The 20,323-nt window shown below is 43.8% G+C and overlaps 1 long non-coding RNA gene across 3 annotated transcripts in view; it reads right to left on the reverse strand.

Annotated features, from left to right (window-relative positions):
• Positions 1-17,203, reverse strand: part of LOC105370372 (uncharacterized) — a 97,399-nt gene extending 80,196 nt beyond the window's left edge. Inside the window, exons 1-2 of one of the 3 annotated variants that reach the window (XR_944294.2) lie at positions 17,040-17,203; positions 16,201-16,365 (exon numbers count right to left, since the gene is read on the reverse strand). This is a non-coding gene — a long non-coding RNA (uncharacterized LOC105370372). Of the gene's footprint in view, positions 1-16,200; positions 16,585-17,039 lie in introns of those variants that run through there. The other 2 variants (XR_944292.2, XR_001750036.1) reach the window with 2 other exon arrangements.
• Between the last annotated feature and the right edge of the window lie 3,120 nt (positions 17,204-20,323).

Here is a 20,323-nt window from a genome sequence, read left to right on the forward strand (position 1 = left end):
TTGCATGTCTTTGCTATTGTGAGTAGTACTACAATGCACATACGTGTGCATGTGTCTTTATGTTAGAGCGATTTATATTCCTTTGGGTATACACCCAGTAATGGGATTGCTGGGTCGAATGGTAGTTCTTTTTTTAGTTCTTTGAGGAATCACCACACTGCATTCCACAATGGCCAAACTAATTTACACTCTCACCAACAATGTATAAGTGTCCCCTTTTCTCCACACCCACGCCAGCATGCATGCTATTTTTTTGCCTTTTTAATAATAGCCATTCTGACTGGTATGAGATGGCATCTCATTGTGGTTTTGATTTGCATTTCTCTGATGATTTTTCATATGCTTGTTGACCAAGTATATGTCTTCTTTTGAAAAGTGTCTGTTCATGTCCTTTGCCCACTTTTTAATGGAGTTATTTGGTTTTTGCTTGTACTTTAGTTTAAGTCCCTTGTATAATTTAGATATTAGATGTTTATCAGATGTATAGTTTGTAAATATGTTCTCCCATTCCATAGGTTTTCTGCTTACTCTGTTGGTAGTTTCTTTTCACTTTAGTTTAATTAGGTCCCATTTGTTTACTTTTGCTTTTGTGCAATTGCTTTTGGCTTTTTTGTTATGAAATCCTTGCCAGTTTCTATGTCCAAAATGGTATATCCTAGGTTATCTTCAGGGTTTTTATAGTTTTAGGTTTTACATTTAGGTCTTTAATCCATCTTGAGTTGATTTTTGTATATGGTGTAATGAAGGGGTCCAACTTTGATCTTCTGCATATGGTTAGCCAGTTCTCCCAACACCATATATTGAAGAGGGATTCCTTTCCTCCTTGCTTGTTTTTGCTGACTTTTTCAAAGATCAGATTGTTGCTGGTGTGTGGTTTTCTTTCTGGGCTCTCTATTCTGTTCCATTGGTCTACGTGTCTGTTTTTGTGCCAGTTCCATGCTGTTTTGGTTACTGTAACCTTGTAGTATAGTTTGAAGTCAGGTAATGTGGTTCCTCCAGCTTGATTCTTTTTGCTTAGGATTGCCTTGGCTGTTTAGGCTCTTTTTTGGCTCCAATATGAACTTTAGGATAGATTTTCTAGTTCTGTGAGGAATGTCATTGGTAGTTTGATGGGAATAGCACTGACTCTGTACATTGCTTTGAGCAGTATGGCCACTTCAATGATATTGATTCTTCCTATCCAAGAGCATGGGATGTTTTTTCATTTGTTTGTATCCTCTCCGATTTCTTGGAGCAGTGTTTCGTAGTTCTTCTTGTAGGGATCTTTCACCTCCCTGGTTAGCTAAAGTCTTCCTAGGTATTTTATTCTTTCTGTGGCAATTGTGAATGGGATTATGCCCCTGATTTGGTTCTTGGCTTGGATGCTGTTAGGAAACCCTTGGCTTAACACTTTGCAGTGCAACTATCTGAAGTGACATTTAAGTTTAATTAATTTTGATACTCAGTTTTAATGACTATGACATCTGAAAAATGATTCTTCAAAATGATTCCTCACAAGGATACATTCATCACAGTGGAGAAGCACATCATTGCTATACTTCTAAACAGTGCTGTGTATTATTCAATCCCAGTGACCAACTCTGCCCAGGATTTTGTTAAAATTTGGGCTGTACGTTTCTATACTCCATGATGACAATCAGCTGTTCGTCCAGGCTAATTAGGATGTATTGAATTTCAATAATATTAACAAATAGGGCCAATCAACTGGAATCCCTTTCTTGGTATATTTTTAAACAAGTTTGAAAACTATTTTTTCAAGTTTCTTAAGGATTTAAATCAAACTTAAAAAAAGGTGACACATCACTCTTAGCCACAAAACCACATAATAAAACCACATTTTTGAACATTCATTTCAAAAATGTTTTCTCCACAGATGCATTTCTTTTGAAAGGTAGCTGCTTCATTCATTGTCAAAACATTATTAGCGAGGTTCTACCTTGAAGGGGTTGAGCATTTTAATATTTTTGAAAATATTTGATCAGTAGCATACTATGGATAGCCATTTATCATCACAGGGAATACTGGCAAATTTGGAGCCTTTGTTCTTTTGTAAAATGAAATGTGTAACTGTTGGCAACTCTTTACAGTGCTTGGCCATGAGCTGACCTTCAAAACTCTGTGCTTCACAGAGGAGAGTCAGGACACCGTCCCATCTCCTCACGAGATCCTCTGAGGATCCTGCCAGCTGAAAGAAGACACTGATGCTCTGTTCCCACTCAGGTTGCAGATGGCACAGGAAATGTGGCTCCCTCCATAAAGCGAGAAAAACTTAGATAATCTAAAAATTGTCATCTTTTAAAAGCTCATCGGAGACCTGAAACTGGACAGAAGCCCAGTGAGCTGAATCCACGGATCAGCAGCCTCCCAAGAAGTGCCCACAGCTGCCATCAGCCACGGACCAGCCATGGGGGAGGTGGAAGCTTCCAGGGACACAAAGAAGAAGACAACAGATAAGCTTCTGACAAATGTGTAAAGGCTGAATGTGGGGTGGCATTAGCGTTAGAGTGCCTGTGAGTCTGGACGCAGGAGAACCCACCCCCACCTCCAGGGATTTTTCATGGTCCTTCTCCAGGTGCCCTTAAGAAGGATGGGGTATATGGCGGAAGGCTGAGAGATGCCCTCCAAAACATGGGGATGAAAGGCCTACTGAGGAGCAAGGGTGCAGCAGAAGGGGGACGAGCCCTTCATACACCCCATGCCTTCTTCTGAGGCCTGCAGAGAGACAGGGAAGCAGAGGGCCCCACCTCTCAGGCGCAGGCGCATGAAGCCTGCAGAGAGTCAGGGAAGCAGTGGACCTCACCTCTCGGGGGCAGGCGCATGAAGCCTGCAGAGAGACAGGGAAGCAGAGGGCCCCACCTCTCGGGCGCAGGCACACGAAGCCTGCTGCAGTCTAAGGGCAGGGACCAAGGCCGAGCGAAGCCCCAGAGGCACCCCAGGGCTTGCACTGAGTACAAAGCAGGGGGCGTTTACCACAGGGAGGGGGAGGGGGTGGAGGGTTCCCCCAGGTGCAGATGTCAGGAGCCAGACGACACCCAAGGAAAGGCAGGGGAGCTAAGATGGAGCCCACAGGCACCTGAGCCCAAGAAAAGGAGAGTTCTGATTTGGCCTTCAAATCACATGAAGTCTGTGGTGAACAGAATCTTACTAAATTAACAGTAAAGCCCAAACCCAGCTCAGCTACAGAATAGGCTGACCAAACCCACTGCAGTACAGACTGGCAAGAAGAGGCCGCAGCCTGGGTGTGGGCGGCATACGCATGCCAACAAACAGGCTTCCAGCAGTCAACCAAACACGACAGGACACATCAGAAAACAGGAAAATGCCACCCACCATCAAGAGAGGAAACAGCCAACAGAACCAAACCTAGAAATCACTCAGATACTGGAATTTCAGACAAAAACCTTAAAACAACAATGCTAAATATGTTACAAAATCAAGGGGAAAAAAGGTGACAGCAGACACATGCAAATACTAGAAGTGAAAACGCTGTATCAGGTCAGAGCTCTCTTTACGGGTGCCTCTGCAGACTGTGGATAGCACGGGAAAGAATCAGTGACCTTGAAGACATGAATAGAAATTACCCAAGCTGATGAAAAGGGACAAACAGAGTGAGGGAGGGAAAAAAACAGAGCATTGGAGGCCTGTGGGTGAAGAATAATAGCAAGTGTACATGTTACTGGAGTTCCAGAAGGAGAGGAGAAAGAGAATGGGGCATAGAACTCTCTGAAAAAATAATGGGCAAGGACATTGAAAAAATAAGAGAACCACAAATGCAAGAAGCTTGGCAACTCCAAGTAGGAAACTACAAAGAAAGCACTCCAAGGCACATCATGGTCAGATTGCCGAAGGCAACCCAGAAAGCGCAAGTCTTGAAAACAGCCAGAGGCAAAAAGACATGGCACACACAGCGAGACAAGATGAGAACACCACCAACTTCCCATCAGAAACAAAGGAGGCCAGAAGATGAGAAAACATCATCTTTAATGTGACGAAAGCATCAACCTAGATTTCCAGATCTAGTAAAAATATTCTTTAGAACAAAGACATCCTCAGATAGGTGAAGGCTGAATGACTTTATCTCCAGAATAGCATTATCCAAAATGCTAAGAGAAGTCCTTTAGTCTGATGAGAAATTATACCTGATAGACATGATAAACACTAACAAAATTTTGTATCATGTTAAATACAAAATACCTTAAAAATATTTGTACGTATATGTATATGTATATATATGTTCTCTATTTCTCTGCATTTACATTTTCTCCCAAACATATATACGTGTGTTGAATAGGCTATTGATTGTTTAAAGTAAAAATAATTAAAAAGTAATTTGCTGTTTACAATATCTGTAGAAATAAAGACAAAATGTACAAAGGGATTATGCTATTGAAAAATTGCTTACACTATTTATGAAGTAGTAGATTTTTTTTAAGATGGAGGTTGACAAAGATGTACATTTTAATATCTGGAGCAAGCACTAAAAAAAAAGGATGATGCAAAAACACCAGATCAATGGAGGAAATAAGATTCAATACCAACCAAAATTACAGAATTCACCTTGGCAGGGGAAAAGGCACAGATCAAGAAAGGGCAGAAGAGATGATTTATATGTAGAAAATGTGGAGAAATATGGTAGAATCAAACCCAAATATATTGATATTGTATGTAAGTAGACTAAATACACAAGTTTAAAGGTAGATATTATAAAACTAATAAAAATGAAAGACCAACTATATATTGTTTATAGAAAACACAGTTTAATCCTAAGGACACAAAGAAGTTAAAAGTAAAATGTTGGAAAAAGATATACCCTGTATACACTAAGTGAAAGAAAGCTGCCGTAGCTTTATTAATACTAAAGCAGACCTTAAATGCAATGGTTTAAGAGAAAGGGAGGGGCAGCTTCTAATGATAAAAGGGTCGATTCATCAAGAAGACATAAGAATCTTAAATGTGTGCATCCCATAAGAAAGCTCTCTAACACTTGAAGCAAAAACCGTCCCAGGTCTTGGGTGCCATTCTCCACTCACAGGACCCAGGGCTCTTTGGAGAGAAATGGTGGATCCCAGGGCAGGGGCAGGGAAGGCACCAGAGAAGCCTGGAATATTGTGTTTCGTCAGAAGTTAGGCAGGACTCAAGCAGCCACAGCATCATGGGGAGAGGGCATGGAAGCCAGCTGGAGGGGCTCCTGCGGGCCAAATATGGGAGAATTTCAGCATGAAAAAAAACTAGTGAAGGTAACAGATTATATCCCATTGAATAAAATGGAAAACCATGAATCTACCCTGATAAAAATAATTACATAGGCCAGGCGTGGTGGCTCATGCCTGTAATCCCAACACTTTGAGAGGCCAAGGTGGGTGGATCACTTGAGCCCAGGAGTTTGAGACCAGCCTGGCCAACAAGGTGAAACCTCATCTCTACTAAAAATACAAGAATTAGCTGGGCATGATGGCATACCCCTGTAATCCCAGCTACTTGGGAGGCTGAGGCAGGAGAATTGCTTGAACCCAGGAGGCAGAGGTTGCTGTGAGCCAAGATCGTGCCACTGCACTCCAGCCTGGGCAACAGAGCGAGACTCTGTCTCCATAAATAAATAAATAAATAAATGATCTGAAGGGTTGATGAGGAATGGAATATTTACGTATTCTCATAATCCACCCCCCAAAGGCTGTTAGTTTCAAAGAGGGAAAGACTGAGCTCACAGTGGACACATCTGGCAGGCGCCTCACTGGGTAGTTGTAGTTGAGCTCAGGCACCACCCAACAGCAGGGCACAGGAAGGACACCACATGACTTCGGCAATTTTGCTGCCACAGGTGCATAATTTGAATGTCACGGTGAAGAGACATTGGACAAATCCAAACTGAGGGAAAAGTTACAACATAACTGTCTATCTTCTTCAAAAGTTTCAGGGCCAGAAAAGCCAAGGCAAGACCGCTAACCTCCAGACTGAGCGAGAACCAGGCGCCTGCCGACTCGTGGGGGTGTGATCTGGACTGAGCCACTCGCCATCTAATTGCAGTCTAAGACCTTGCTGGGGACAGAGGGCAGAAGCAGAGTGAGGTCTGGCTGTCAGGGAAGCAGTCGATCCGTGTTCAACTCCGGGTTCTGCTGGCTGTGACGTGGTTACGTAGGAGAACATCGTTGTTTGTAGGAAAAACAAACTGAAAAACATGGGGGTGATGGGGTGACAGGTCTGCAACTTATCACTAAATCCTTCAAGAAAAAGTTATTTTACTGTACTTGCCACTTTTCTGTAAGTTTGAGATTGTTTCAAAGTGAGGAAGCTTTTAAAAATTAAACTGGCAAGCCATAAATAGGGAGGAAGTATTTGCAATTCATATCTGACAGAAGGCTTGCAGCCGGAATCTACAACGATCACCTACGATCCAATGAAGACGAAAAACAGCCCAATAACAGAGGGCGACACACTTGAGAGGCACTTCACGAAGCAGACAAGCAAACGGCCAGCAAGCCCAGGAAAGGCGTTTGGAGCCACAGCCACCAGGTGGGCGTGGGGGACGCGAGACACCGCCTCACGTCCCTGAAATGGCCAGAATGAAAAAGGCTGGTAACTCCAAATGTTGGTAAGGACGTGCAGCCGCCAGAACCCACGAGCGGCTGGTGAGAATGCAGAAAGGTGTGAGCTCTTTCCACACCCACTTGCCAGTGGCTTATAAAGTTAAATATAACGCTTAGCACACAATCCAGAAATTCCACTTCAAGCATTTATCCAAGAGATGTTCAAACATGTGCACACACAACTTGCACACAAACGTTCATGGCATGTTTATTAATAACACATTAAAAAATAGCCAGAGGCTGGAAACAGCCTTGGTGTCTGGCGAGAGGAGTGGATAAGCTGTAGTACCTTCACACATGGGATGCACCTCACCCGCCCACAAGAACCCGCGAGCGGAGACACGGGGCACCAGGAGGACTCTGAAGAGCAGAGCGCCAGGCACGGAGGGCACGTGTGGCAGGCGGGAAGTTCAGGGATAGGCAGAGCTCACCTGTGCTGCTAGACACCAGCTCCACTGTGGCTCTGGCCGGGGGACAAAGGGAGCTTCCTGGGGCTCAGGGAAGTGGGTGGCGGGGAGCCTGCATCTGTCAGAGCAGCCGAATCGCGCATTTCTCATACCTCAGTTTTCACAAGCGTAAATGTCAGAGCAGGCTGGCACACAGGCATGCACACAGGCACAGACAGTGCCCCATCCATGTGCACACACATGTGAACATGCACACACACACCGAAGGAAGCCTGGTGAGTCAGGCACAGAGAAAGGGCCACACTGAAGTGTGCAGAAAGCACGGTGGAGTGAGGCCCTGCTAACTCGGAGGCCAGGGGACCCCACCCTCCCTCGGGACCCTTCCTGGCATGTGCGCCTCTTGTCCCTCTGACACACGGGCTGCACCAGAGATCACTGGGCTGAAGACAGGCAGCCCTGAGTCTCCCCGTCCGGAATCTCTGGACTGCACCTTGTGGGTGCTGAGGCACCCAGAGGCCTCCTGGCCCCCCTAAAGCACGGGCTTTGACATTAGGCACTTTCTCTTAGGGGCCACATCAGGACCCAAGGTGAAATGGCTCCAAGGACAACATTGCACCACTGTTCAGAGCTGCTTCCACCCGGGTGTCCAACTCAACTCAGCCCTTAGACACCCAGGCGTGGGATGCAGACTTCACCCCAGGAACACCGGACACCCCACTTGGTCCCAGAAGCGGCGCCTCCTCCCAGCTTCTCCATGCACAGCCCCACGTGGAAGCGGGAGCTCCTCTCCCCAGGACCCCAGCGACAGGGTGCACGGGAAGCGCTTTTTCTCTCCAGCCTGCGGATGGGGCGGCCCACACCAGGAGGGCGCAGAAACTGAAACAGGCGCCCGCTTGGCCTAGAGGCCTCCAGGGTGCCCAGGCCTCCTCCCCCAGGACACCAGCCCAGCGCCACCCACACGCCGCGGGTGGATGGGACTCCGGACACGCGGTCTACATCCCCCATCCCGGGCTCCCCGGGGTCTCTCGGTGTGGGGGGAGCCGGCCCCCCTGTGCCAGAGGAATGCGGCCTGAGGCTCTGTCGGAAACAATGATCTCAGTTCCAGGCAAGCTGCTGCGCGACATCCCCTCGCTGCATTCTTATTAAAACCTTAAGCCCAGCGTAAAGGCAGAGAAATAAAAATTTATTTCTCTTCTTTATGAGACACCTGGCAACACGTCCACAGAACAATATCCATAATCACTTAGCCAAATTTCCATCCCATTTTACTCAATTTTCTAGATAGCAGAGGTATATTTTTGGAGCGCAGAGATCTTTGTGCAATTTTCACTTCCCTTCCTCTTCCCCTTCCCGCACCTCCTCCCCCAGGAGCCCCAGGTGGGGATTGGGTTCGCGCCAACCTCGCTTCCGGAACAGGGTTCATGCTTAGGCAACCCAACTCCTCTCGGGCGCTGGCTGGGGAGGGGCCGAGACCTCCAGCAGAGGAGGAAGGGGCGCTGGAAGCTGCCAGGCCCTACGTGGGCCACCTCGGTGGGGTCCAGACAGCTCCGTGCAGGACACCATGCCGGCAAGAGGAGCTGGACCGCAGCCCTCCCCTGTTCGCGGCTGGGCGCCCCAAGCAGGTCGCAGCCCCACCTGGGTGGCCTCTCTGGCTGGACCGGGAGAGGAGCTTTGGTGCCTGGTGTCTTACACTGCATCTGAAGGAGGGTGACTCAGGTCCGCTTCACCTCCTGAACCTTGGTCTCCTCAGATGAAAAAAGAACGATATCTTAAAAACGCTGTAGGGTGGCTGTCAGAGCTAGAGGTAACCCGCAGGAAGTGCCTGGTGCGTATTAGGTGTTGATAACGATTTTGGAAATTGTCCCCTACTGCAGAGAGGCCACAATAACCAAACGCACCTCAGAGGTAATGACACCTCTGTATTCTTGGGAAACCCCTACAGGCAGGAGATCTCCATTCCAGGTGAGGCTGTTGACCCCTCGGGACCCCCAGACAGTTGACACTGTGGGTGCCTTCAGGATGTGCAGGTGTCTGGCCGTTGATCCAACAAATGCTCAGATCCCACACCGGCGTCTGTGCCAGACTCCACAGAGAGCAGGGGACATGGCTAGGGGCGAGGGTCTAAGTCAGGACGCCGGGCTCCTTGCAAATCTCCAATTTAATGCACCTGGTGACTTGTGAACAGGCTCTCCAAGGATTCAAATGTGTCCTTAAAGATCCCAAAACTGTGCAACACAGGGGACAATTAGGGAAGAGCTTGTGGTGTTTTTCAACACAGGGGAGGTGAAAGGCTGAAAACGCGCAGGGATGAAAGCACGTGGCTGGTTCTTCGGCGCAGCTCGGGGGACACCACATGGCCCGAGGCACACCCGCCACTCTCAGGCGTGGTGGCTCAGGGCTCCCGCCAGTGACACTCCCCCAACACCTGCAGTAAAGCCCTCTAAAGCAGCTGCTTTCACTCCTAGCTTTTCTGAACCTATATATTAGTTCTCTAATTTTTATTTGGCTTACAAAAGCAATTCATCATAAACAATAAAATTTTTAAAGTACAAAGAAGAAAACAAAAATCCTGACTAATTCTATAATCAGAGAGAACTCTCGCTATTTTGGGGCATATTTTCTAGTCTTTCTATCTTGATTGGTCAATTCAAAGGTAAATATACTTACATATAATAAAATTCATATATTTTGTATGTAACTTTACATATATAAAGTTTATATACTTTTAAGAGTCCCTCTTTACTGAAAGAGGTATGTAGCACACTTCCTGTATGAGGTCTGTTTATTTAGCCATTTTATATTGCCCCCATCACACTGCATATCACTATAGAGAAGGTCCCTGAGGTCGGATTTTTGACCTCACCACAATGCAAAGGGATGAGCAGGCAGTAGGAGCTGTCCTCTCACAATATTGGGCAGCCCCCAGGCAGCCATGCATTTTTTCTGTGGTGATGAGGTCTCACTGTGTTGTCCAGGCTGGTCTCAAACTCTTGGACTCAAGCCGTCCTCCCACTTCAGCCTCCCAAAGTGCTGAGATTACAGGCGTGAGCCACTGTGTCTGATTAGGCCACACGTTTTCAACTTAGGCACGTTTATTGGACGAAGCCCCATGGTAAGTCAAGAAGCAATTGTATTCTTCCACAGCTTTGGATTTACTAATTCCCTTTGATTTCTATATGGTGGTGCAGGTGTTTATTAAGCAAACCTCAGTTGCTGGACATGGGAAATTTCTGGCTTGACCCCTGAGGATCCTGAACATTCAGTCCATGTGGTCAAGGCCTTGGATGGGCACAGGAGCTGCACGGCTGGGAGGCAAGTGACCCTTGAGGACGCAGGGGCCGGTCCCTCCAGGCTGGGTCGCACATGGGCCACCCAGAACACGGGTCAAGTGACTCAAGGTACAGCTGAAGCATCTCTCCAGCGCCTCCTGCAAGGACAGTGCCACTCCTCAGGTCTCTGTGCACCAGTTAAGAAAGGCTTCTCCATAGCACTGCGTCCCCCAACTCAAACCTCCCCTACCAGGGCAAGGTTCCCTCTGAACCACGGGTTACAGCTGTGCCAGGGAACCCATACGTCTTGTGCCCAGGAGCCACCACCCTGGCAGGAGCACGGGAAGAGGCAGGGTGGCAGACATGCTGGGACAGGAAGTAGCACACGTGGGACCCAGACAATCCCAGCTGGTGCCTCCTGGAACTTCCTTGTCTCATTTTTGTGCAGCAAGCCTGGCCTGAAAGGGGTGAATTACCAAAGATTCAGACTCTCGCACCCTAAGAGTGAAAGTTCGGGTTACACCACGAGGTAAGCCACCAACACCAGTCAAAAGATTCCCCAAGGGTGAGGAGAATTTAACATGAACAGAGCAGGAGGGGAACACCAGTTCCAGCCCCATAAACAGTGGCCAGGGCTGCCAGCCATCCCACACACCCTCTTTAGAGCCTCGCCTCGGGAAGAGAGACCCACGGGAACATTAAAGAGCTGCTCCCCAGATGTGTCTGGAGAAATAGGTCTGTGTGGCCATGAAAATGGCTGAGACCTTCATCTGTGGGAATGAGATCTGAGGCCACAGCTGTTATGCCCAGGAACATGCAGAGGTCTCCCAGCCCCTATGCAGACAGAGGCCATGCTCTCCACGGGCTGCCCCCAGTTCATGCCCATCCTGGAAGACATGAGACTCCTCTGACAGACAACTTTAGCTCAAGGATCCCCACTGGCTTTGCCAAACATCCTCAGAACTGCACTGCAGTCTCAGATCCTTGTGCCAATCTTCCTCCTCCTCTCCCTTCTTCATGAGGATATGAGCTCAGTCATGGTCTGCTGGGTTACCCAACCCCCACTGAACCCCTCCCCATTTCCCCTGCAGGTGTGTTCCCTAATAAATCTAATTCCATCTTGCTACCTCCTTCTTGGGAGAGCCAGACTAGGTACACAGAAAATCCAATGAACAAAACAGATAAGCTCCTAGAATTAATAGATAATTGCAAAGATAATTTAGCAAGAATTTTGGATATAAAATCAATATATAAAAAATTAATTGGCCAGACATGGTGGATTACACCTGTAATCCAAGCACTTTGGGAGGCTGATATGGGCAGATCACTTGAGCTCAGGAGTTTGAGACCAGTCTGGGTAACATGGTGAAACCCCGTCTCTGCAAAAAATACAAAAAATTAGCTGGGCATGGTGACATGCCTATGGTCCCAGCTACTGGGAAGCTGAGGTGGGAGGACTGCCTGAGCCTGGGAGGCAGAGGTTGCAGTGAGCCAAGATCATATCACAGCACTCCAGCTTGGGTGACAGAGTGAGACACCATCTCAAAAAAAATACAGGATAAAATGTAATTGCATTTCTGTGCATCAGCAACAAGTAGAAAATTATACCTTAAAGATACCATTTATAATGGTGTTAAGAAAATAAAGTCCCTAAGAATAAATTTAACAAAAATTGTGCAAACCCATCATGTAGAAATTTATAGAATCTTGAGAGACATTAAGAAAGACCTAGGCAAACATGGAGAGATATACTATGTTCATAGATCAGTAGAATAAGTATTATAATGTCATCTTTCTCCAATTCAATTTATATTAGTCTATTCTTGCACTGCTATAAAGAAATACCTGAGACTGGGTAATTTACAAAGAAAAGAGGTTTAATTGGCTCATGGTTCCTTAGGCTGTACAGGAAGCATGGCAGCATCTGCTTCTGGGGAGGCCTCAGGGAGCTGTTACTCATTGTGGAAGGCAAAGCAGGAGCAGGCGTCTCACATGGCAGGCGCAGGACCAAGAGATGGGGGAGGTGCACACACTTTTAAACAACCAGATCTTGTGAGAACTCACTCACTACCAGGAGAATAGTACCAAGGGGATGGTGCTAATCCACTCATGAAGGATCCACCCCCATGATCCAATCATCTCCCACCAGGCCTCACCTCCAACACTGACCGTTACAACTGAACATAAGATTTGAGTGAGGACACAGATCCAAACCATATCAGATGCCTTACAATCCTAACCAAAATACCAATTTTGTTGGTGGGGCGGGGGGGCAGGTAGAACTAGATTCTAGCATTTATATGAAAGAGAAAAAGTCAGATATAGCCATTCTTGAAGAATAAGAACCATAGAAATTAAGACAGTCTTGTAGTGGTGTGGTGGCGTGGGGCAAGACAATTTGATCAATGGGAAAAAACACACATATACAGATTCATGCTTTATGACAGAAACAGTACTTTAGATATAGCTTTTCAATTACTGGTGCTTGGAAACTGGATACACTTATGAAAAATGAATGAAAATGGGTTCCTGCCTCATTCCATATGTTAAAATTAATCCCATGTAGATTAAAAACAAAATTTAAAGATAAAACTATAGGTTGAGCATTTCAAATTGGAAAATCCAAAATCTGAAACTTTTTGAGCACCAACATGATGCTCAAATGCACTGTACATTGAAGCATTTCAGATTTCAGATTTTTGAATTAGGGATGCTGAACAGGTAAATATAATGCTAATATTCCAAAATCTGAAAAAAAAATCCAAAATCTGAAACATTTCTGGCCCCAAGCATATTGGATAACGATACCCAACCTGTACTAACGTTTTAGAATAAAATATAGAAGGCTATCTTCCATGATTTCAGTGATGGGAAGTATATATGTAGGGCATCAAACTACCTGACTTGAAGCTGTACTACGAGGTTACAGTAACCAAAACAGCAGGGTACTGGGTTGAAAGCTAAAACAAAAACATAGACCAATAGAACAGGATAGAGAACCCAGAAATAAGGCTGCACATCTACAGCCATGTGATCTTTGACAAGGTCAACCATAACATGCAATGGATTCCCTATTCAATAAATGGTGCTGGGATAACTGGATAGCCATATGCAGAAGATTGAAGCCAGACCCCTTCCTTTCACCATATACAAAAATCAAATCAAGGTTAATTGAAGACTTACATGTAAGACTTAAAACTATAAAAACTCTAGAAGAAAATCTAGGAAATAACATTGTGGACATGGGCCACGGCAAAGAATTTATAGTTAAGCTCCCAAAAGCAATTGCAACAAACATAAAAGTTGACAAATGGGACCTAATTAAACTAAGTTTCTGCACAGCAAAAGAAACTATCAACAGAGTAAACAGAAAATCTACAAAATGGGTTAAAATATCAGCAGACTATGCATCTGACAAAGTTCTAACATCCAGAATCTATACGGAACTTAAACAACTCAACAAGTTAAAAACAAACAACTACATTAAAAAATGGGCAAAGGACATGAAAAGACACTTCTCAAAAGAAGACATACATGCAGCCAATAAACATACAACTATATGTTCACCATTAATCATCAGAGAAATGCAAATCAAAAACACAATGAGATAATATCTCACACCAGTAATTACAGCTATTATTAAAAAGTCAAAAAACAACAGATGTTGGTGAGGGTTCAGAGAAAAGGGAACACTGATACATTGTTGATGGGAATGTAAATTAGTTCAGCCACTGTGGAAAGCAGTTTGGAGATTTCTCAAAGAACTTAAAACACAACTACCATTCAACCCAGTGATCTCACTACTGGGTATATGCCCAAAGGAAAATAAATCGTCCCACCAAAAAAGCAAAACAAACAAAAACACACGCACTCATGTGTTTACTGCAGCACGATCATAATAGCAAAGACACAGAATCAACCTGGATGCCCATCGACAGTGGACTGGATACAGAAAATATGGTATGTGTAGACAATGGAATATTACGCAGCCAAAAAAAGAATAAAATCATGTCCTTTACAGCAACATGGATGTAGCTGAAGACCATTATCCTAAGCAAATTAACAAAAGAAACTGAAAACCAAATACCGTCTGTTCTCACTTATAAGCAGGAGCTTATAACACACAGGGACACAAAGACGGGAATAATAGACACGGGGGGCTACTTGAGGTGGGAGGGTAGGAGGTGGGGGTGGGCTGATAAACTACCTATTGGCTACTATGCTCACTTACCACCTGGGTGATGGGATCATTTGTATCTAAAACTTCTGCAGCACACAATCTACCCATGTAACAAACCTGAACATGCACCCCCTGAACTAAAATAAAAGTCAAAAATAAACTAAAAAGCAAAAATACACGTTTGCTAACCATAACATTTTTAAAAAAACATAAATATAGATAGATCTATATTGAAACTTAAAATGTCTGTTCAAGAAAGGACAACACAAAGAAAGTTAAAATCTTGCTAGAAATTGAAAGATATGTGGAATATATGTAACCAACAAAAGACCGGTATATAAAATACATAAGTAACCCCTACAAATCAATAACAACCCTCCAAAAAGTGGAAAACACTTGAACCAGAAATTCAAAAATAAAAAGTTCAAGTGGCCAGTGAATATATAAAAACATGTCCAACCGCATTAGTATTTAATAAGTAAAAATTAAAGCCACAATGAGATACCATCATGCAGTAGCCAGATTAGCAAAACTTTTAAAGCCTGGCAATGCCGAATGTTCCAGGATGCTGCGCACTGGTAACTTTCAGGAACTGGTGGTAGGAATGTAACTTGGCACTTTGTAAAATAGCTTGGCACTGTGCAGTAAAGTTGACGATATCCTATGACCTAGCAATTCTACCCATGGGTATTTACCCTAGAAAAACTCTTGCGTATATGCCCAAGAAATGTTCACACTGCAACACTTGTAACAGGCAAACATTGCCAATAATCCAAATATCCATTAACAGTAGAATGGCTGAAGAAGTTATGGTATGATAAAAAAAAAAACAGAATAGTACATATCAATGAGTGAATGTCAGTTATAGCTGACATGATATCAATGTGATACCTTCAAATTATAGGTATCAGTATGACCTCACTTATAAAATATGAAGGATGGCACTAACATAAAATTCAAGTGTAGGCAAAATGAATCCATTATTGTGAGGAGTATACGCACAGGTGGTAAAATTATAAGGAAAAGCAAGAGAGTGATTGCCACAAAAGATAAGATGATTAACCTGCACAGAGAGCAGGAAATATCATCAGAAAGAGCCAAGAGGCTTTCAGGTTACTAGAAATGTCCTGTATTTTAAACTAGGAGGTTGTAACGTGGCTGCTGGCTTTATGATTAAACTTTAAACTATATATGTGTGTGGAGAAATTATATAAAGTCCATATAATCAAAAGCTGCTTCTTTTAAAAAACCAATAAATCTGAAAAACCAGCACTCCAATAAAATAACTCTTGTCAAAATTATCTTTCCAAACACAATGACCAATTTTCTATCATCATCTAATTCTGTCTTTCCACAGTATTCAAAAGAGCTGACGACGTGTTCCTTGCAACTCCGTTCTCTTGGCTCCTGAGACTCTCCAACTCTCCTGCAACTCTCCAAGTCTCCTGCTCAACCTCTAAAAATTCAGGGTTAGTCCTGAACTCTCTTGTCTGTACTTTCTTTCAAGGAAATCTCATACCATCAAGTACTATTTCTATGCTGACGATTCCCACACACGGAGCTCTAGCCCTGGCCTCTCCTCTGCTTAGTTAGTGTCTCTTAGGACATTCTGTGCTGTAAACTCCAGCCACCTCAGCTTCCCAGGACAACCGGCTCCATCTCACCTCAGAGAAATTGCCGCGCCTGCCCGGGCCCTGCTCCCTGTTGTGCAGACTGTCAGCTTCATCCAGATGGTAAGTCAGGGCAACTGCAGGACTCACCTTGGTTTCTCCAGTCTCTTAGGTCTCTGTCCTCCGCTGTCAGGTGTATATGAGACTCACTGTTATATTTTGTCTTGTTTCTTCGGGACTTTTGTTTGTACCAGGCAGGAGGGTAAATCTGGTCACTATTATTCCATTTGAGCCAGAAGTCAAAGTCTTCCTTCTCTACTAATTTTAAAAGTGCAAATTAACAACGGTACATCATAGATATAATATTTGTTGAATTAACTACCTAATTTTAAAATGAGAACTAAGAAGGGTCTTGTCTCAGCAGTTAAGAAAAACAAATACAAGATAGTAGATTTAAACCCAACCAAGTGAATAATCACACTAAATGTAAAGTCTACAAACTCCAATTAAAAGGTAGAGATTGCCAGATTAGATAAAACACACACACACACACACACACACACACCCCAACTGTATGCTGTCTACAAGATGCCCATTTTAAATATAAAATCATAAATAAGACTAAAAGTAAAAGAATGAAAAACCTATGTATCATGCTAATATAAATCAAAAGAAAGCTGGAGTGGCTATAACAAAGTATATTTTAAAGCAAAGCATATTACCAGGAATAGAAAGCCTCTTTATAATGACAAACAGGACAGTTCATCAAGGGAACATAACAATTCTAAATACCTAAGAGCCTAATAATAACAGAGATTCAAAATGCATGAAGTAAAAATGAGAGAAGTGCAAAGAGAAATAGGCAAATTCCTAATTATAGTCAGAGATTTCAACAACACTCTCCCAATAATTGACAGTAAAAGTAGACACAAGTCAGTAAGGGTGCAGAAGACCTCAATGGTTAATATGATTAATATCAACCAACTTACACTGATTGACTTCACAGGACACTCCACCACCAAACAGCAGAATAAGATTCTTTTATTCTGCGCTCACAGAACATTTACCAAGACAAACCTTCCTCAGGGTCATAAAACAAATCTCAATAAATGTGAACTCTGACCACCATGAGATTACATCATAAGTCAGTAACAGAAAGATATCTGGAAAATCCATAAATATTTGAAAGCCAAATAACAAACTTTTAAACAACCCACAGGTCAAAGAACAAAACAGAAGAGAAATTAGCAAGTATTCTGAAATGAATACAAATGAAAGCACAGCATATTAAAATTTGTGAGCCAGACGCGGTGGCTCATACCTGTAATCCTAACACTTTGGGAGGCCAAGGCAGGTGGATCACCTGAGGTCAGGAGTTTGACACCAGCCTGGCCAACAGGGCAAAACCCCATCTCTACTAAAAATCCAAAAATTAGTCAGGCATGGTGGCAGGTGCCTGTTATCCCAGCTATTCAAGAGGCTAAGGCAGGAGACTTGCTTGAACCCGGGAAGTGGAGATTGCAGTGAGCCGAGATCACGCCACATCACTCCAGCCTGGGTGAAAGAATGAGACTGCGTCTCAAAAAAAACTAACTGTGGAATGCAGCAGAAAGATTTCAGTCACCTTACCCTCCATCTCAAGAAAAACAGAAAAACTCGGAGTTATAAGAAAGGAAATAATAAAGATGAGAGCAGAAATCCATGAGATATAAAGCAGAAAACAATACAGAAAAATCAATGACAACAAGAGCCACTGCTTTGAGATGAGGAAAAGTGATTAATCTGTATCCAGGCCAATCAAGGAGAAAAGTCACAATTTACTAATACCAGAAATGAGGTTACAGTAATGCCATTACAGTTTCTATAGATATTAAATGAATAAGAAAATACCACAAACAACACTCTGCCCATTGATTTGACAACTTAGATGAAATGGACCAATTCCCTGAAAGATACAGCTACCATAATTCACGAACAATTCAGAACCATTTGAGCAACAAAATAAAGGATTGGACTATAACGCAAAATAGACAATAAATCTCCATACGTCCACAATGAGATAACAAATGCTTGAATCAATACACGGGGGAAAGACACCGTCTCCCATGTAGAATTTCAAATAATGTATGTAGATATTCTACTCTCAAGAAGCTCCTGGCCCTTCAAGTTGGGGCTGCGCAATGGTCCCCTCCTAAAGAGAACAATAGGAAAAGGAGGAGAAAAGCAGCGAGTCTGCAGTGGAGAAAACACGACCTCAGCCAGGCAGGGGTCAAGGTCAACACCAACAGTGAAGTCATGCTTTACAACATGTGATGAGAATGGCACTTTGCCCTGGTCTTTCTCCCAAAAACCTATACTCTCCAGTCTAATCATGAGAAAAATATCAGACAAAACCCAACTGAAGGATATTCTATAGAATATCCTCAAAATTGTTGGTGTCATCAAAAACAAAAATCTGAGAAATGTCAAAACTTAAAGGGGCCTAAGGAGATAAAACAACCAAATGTAATGTGGTGTCCTGGATGGAATCTGGGAAGGGAGAAAGGTCATGTTGAAAAAGCACCATCTGGCCGGGTGCGGTGGCTCACGCCTGGAGTCCCAACAGTTTAGGTGGCCGAGGCGGGCAGATCACCTCAGGTCAGGAGTTTGAGACCAGCCTGGCCAACATGGTGAAACCCTGTCTACTAAAAATACAAAAATTAGCTACGCATGGTGGTGCACGCCTGTAATCCCAGCTACTCGGGAAGCTGAGGCAGAAGAATTGCTTGAACCTGGGAGGCGGAGGTTGCAGTGAGCTGAGATCGTGCCACTGCATTCCAGCCTGGGTGACAGAGCAAAGCGAAAGAAAGGAAGAAAGGAAGGGAGGGCGGAGGAAGGAAGGGAGGGAGGGAGGGAGGGAGGGAGGGAGGGAGGGAGGGAGGGGAAAGCACAATCTGACAGAAATATAACATGAGCAACCTATGTAGCTTAAATTTTCTAGCAGCTATGTTAAAAAAGTAAAAACAGGTAAAACTAATCTTAATAATTATTTTATTTTACCAAATATATACAAATAGTATCACTTCAACATGAAATCAGTATAAAAAATATTGAAACAGTTTACATTTTTTCCATATTAAATATGTGAAATTTAGGGTGCATTTTACACTTACCCCATATCCCAGCTGAGACTAGCCACATTTCAAGTGCCTGGCAGCCACCTGTTATGAACAGGGCAGAGCTAAATAAATAGCCTTGATCTAAAGCCGGCAATTGAAATTACGATCATCACAGTGAGGACTCTGCATTAACTGTAGGATAATACATAGACATTGCTTCCTCTGAAGAGTTCCATTTCATGGTTAAATGACAGCAAAGGCTGGGCGCAGTGGCTCACGCCTGTAATCCTAGCAATTTGGGAGGTCAAGGCGGGTGGATCACCTGAGGTCAGGAGTTCGAGACCAGCCTGGCCAACATAGTGAAACCCGGTCTCTACTAAAAATACAAAAATTAGACAGACATGGTGATGGGAGCCTGTAGTCCCAGCTACTCAGGAGGCTAAGGCACAAGAATCTCTTGAACCCAGGAGGCAGAGGTTGCAATGAGCTGAGATCTGGCCACTGCACTCCAGCCTAGAAGACAGAGTGGGACTCCATCAAAAAAAAAAAAAAAAAAAAAAAATGACAGCAAAAAAGCGGCAGCAGCTTCCCTGTGCATGTTGGCGTTTGTCTATATTTTAATCCTATAAACTTTACCCCAGGAGACTCTGTCCACACCATGGACTTAGATGAAAATCCCTATACTGATGAGCATAGAACCTAGTAAATGCTCAGTTAAAAAAAAAAGATGAGCCATAGACTGGAAGGAAACATTTGCAAGTCACCTATCTAATAAAACACTTTTATCCAGACATATTTTTAAAACTCTCAAAACTCAGTAACAATAAAAATGGGCAAAACATTTTGACAGGTAAGGTTTCATAGCAAATAAGCACATGAAATGATGCTCAATAATCTCAGACATTAGGAACACTGACGCCATTTACAAATCAGATCGATTAAAGCCACAGTGAAATGCCACTACACACCTATAAGAAGGCCTAAAATTAAGAGTGCTGACCACGCTAAGAATGGACAAGGACTGGAGACCCTGGAATCTCACACACTTATGCTGAGAATTCAAATGGTTTGACCATTTTGGCAGTCTCTTAAAAAATTAAATGTAAACCTATCACATGATCTAGCCATTCCTCTCCTAAGAATTTACTCAAGAAAAATGAAAGCATTTATCCATA

The sequence above is a fragment of the Homo sapiens genome, chromosome 13 (genome assembly GCF_000001405.40).
Source record: "Homo sapiens chromosome 13, GRCh38.p14 Primary Assembly".
Lineage (NCBI taxonomy): Eukaryota > Metazoa > Chordata > Mammalia > Primates > Hominidae > Homo > Homo sapiens.